This window comes from Homo sapiens, chromosome 11, assembly GCF_000001405.40.
Source record: "Homo sapiens chromosome 11, GRCh38.p14 Primary Assembly".
Classification (NCBI taxonomy): Eukaryota; Metazoa; Chordata; class Mammalia; order Primates; family Hominidae; genus Homo; species Homo sapiens.
In genome coordinates, this window is record NC_000011.10 from 127042036 (window position 1) to 127043982 (window position 1947).

The window sequence follows — 1947 nt, forward strand, 5'->3', positions numbered from 1 at the left end:
ATGTAAAAAAGAATAAAGCATCTGTCTATGAACTGATAAGAAATGATTTCCAGGATATGTTGTTAAGGGCAAGAAGCAAGATGTTAACGAATGCATATAGTATGTTATCCTTTGTATAAGAAAAAAGAAAAAAACCCTCCAAATCCATGTACTTATTTGCTTATTTTTTCCAAAAAAAAATGTAGGATGCATGAAACAGAGTCTGATGAAAATGGTTGCCTATTTCGGGTGTGTGGGAAATGGGTGGCAGGGTTAGGGACGGTACTGAGTCTTTTTTGAATATACCTTTTAATATAACTTTGACATATAAATCATATAAATGTTTTATATACCGTATGTTAAAATGAAATTAAATCAAATCAGTAAGGGTGAATACAAAGCAAATCTTAAAGCTGAATATAAAATGAAACAAAGAAAGCCAACTATATATCAAATTGACAACCTAACTGTACAGAAAGTGAATAACTAATTCAAAAACTTTTGAATGCAGCATTCTGACTGTACATTCTTAGTGGGTGATAGTCTAAAAAAAAAGATCTGTAACAGCATCTTAAACGTATTTAGTCAGCTTGTTGTTGGTAGTTGTTTTGGTACAGTAATCCCCAAACTATTCTGAATATGTTGTAGGACTGAGCCAATGAGTTAAACATATTGATGGTGTTAGGAATCAGAGAGAAGGAGTATGCAGACATAGGATAGGGAAAGATGAGGAAGAATCCTGGATGTTTAATTCCAATGAGAAGAATCAGTCTAAACTCAGATGTGTCCATTGAAATGGCCTAGAAGCAACAAACTCCAGTGGCAATCAGTTCACTTAACACTCACACTTGGTTTCTTGTTTTTAATTGGCTTAAAACAACAATAAATATGTATTACCCTCATAGTCTATGTGTATCAAACATTTGGGAGTGGCATAGACGGACAGTTCTGGCCCAGGATCTTTTGCGATGTCATCTGAAGGCTGACCTGGAGCTGGCTGGATCTACTTCCAAGATGGCTCATCCCATGGCTGGCAAGATGATGCAGGTTGCTGCGCAGAGGCCAGTGTCTGCCCACATGCCCTTCTCCACAGGCTGCTTGAGTGCCCTCACAGCATGGCGGCTGGCATCCCCCAACTGAGTGAGCAATCCAAGAGAGGCTAAGGCTGACACTGGGATGTCTTTTATGACCTAGCCTCAGCAGTCCCACACTGTCACTTTCACAGTATTCTGTTGATCACACAGAACAGCCATGATTCAGCGAGACAGGACTACATGAGGGTATGAACAGCAGGCAGCAAGGATCGTTTAAGCTGAGAGCTAAAGGCTGAGTAAAGCAGCTAGTCGAGTGAAGAGAGTGAAAGAAGTACACTTCTTATAAGTTGTGGGACAGAACTTAGAAATAAGTTTATATGACTAGGGCGTAAAGATGAGGCCTGATGCATGGCAGTTCTTGCAAGTTTTGTTAAGAAGCTTAGTTTTTATAATAAAGCCAATAAAGCATCAAAGTGTTTATATTTTAGTAAGATCACTCCGGCTATTACATGGAGGGTGGACTGAAGGAACAAGGACAGGGAACAGGAATGGCAGTAAAGAAACCAGGAGACTATTGAGATGATCCTGACAAGAAATGGCAACTTGGACTACGGCAGTGGCAATAGAGGTGAGAAAACTGGGCAAGTGCTGAGAGACTTAGGAGACAAACATACATGACCCAATGTTTGGATATATGGATCACACATTAGAGAGGAATCAAGGCTGGCTCTGAGGTTTTTGACTTGTGCTTATGAAAGGAACAGCAGGTTTGGGGATTAAAAAAAGTGTATTTAGCATGTTGAGTTTGTAGTGCTTACACACATGGAAATGTCCAGTAAGCAGTGGGCATATGGGACCTGGGATCAGGACATATGCCTGGACATCAGAACTTATGGTTACCAGAATACCCAGATCTTAGTTCCTAAATACCATT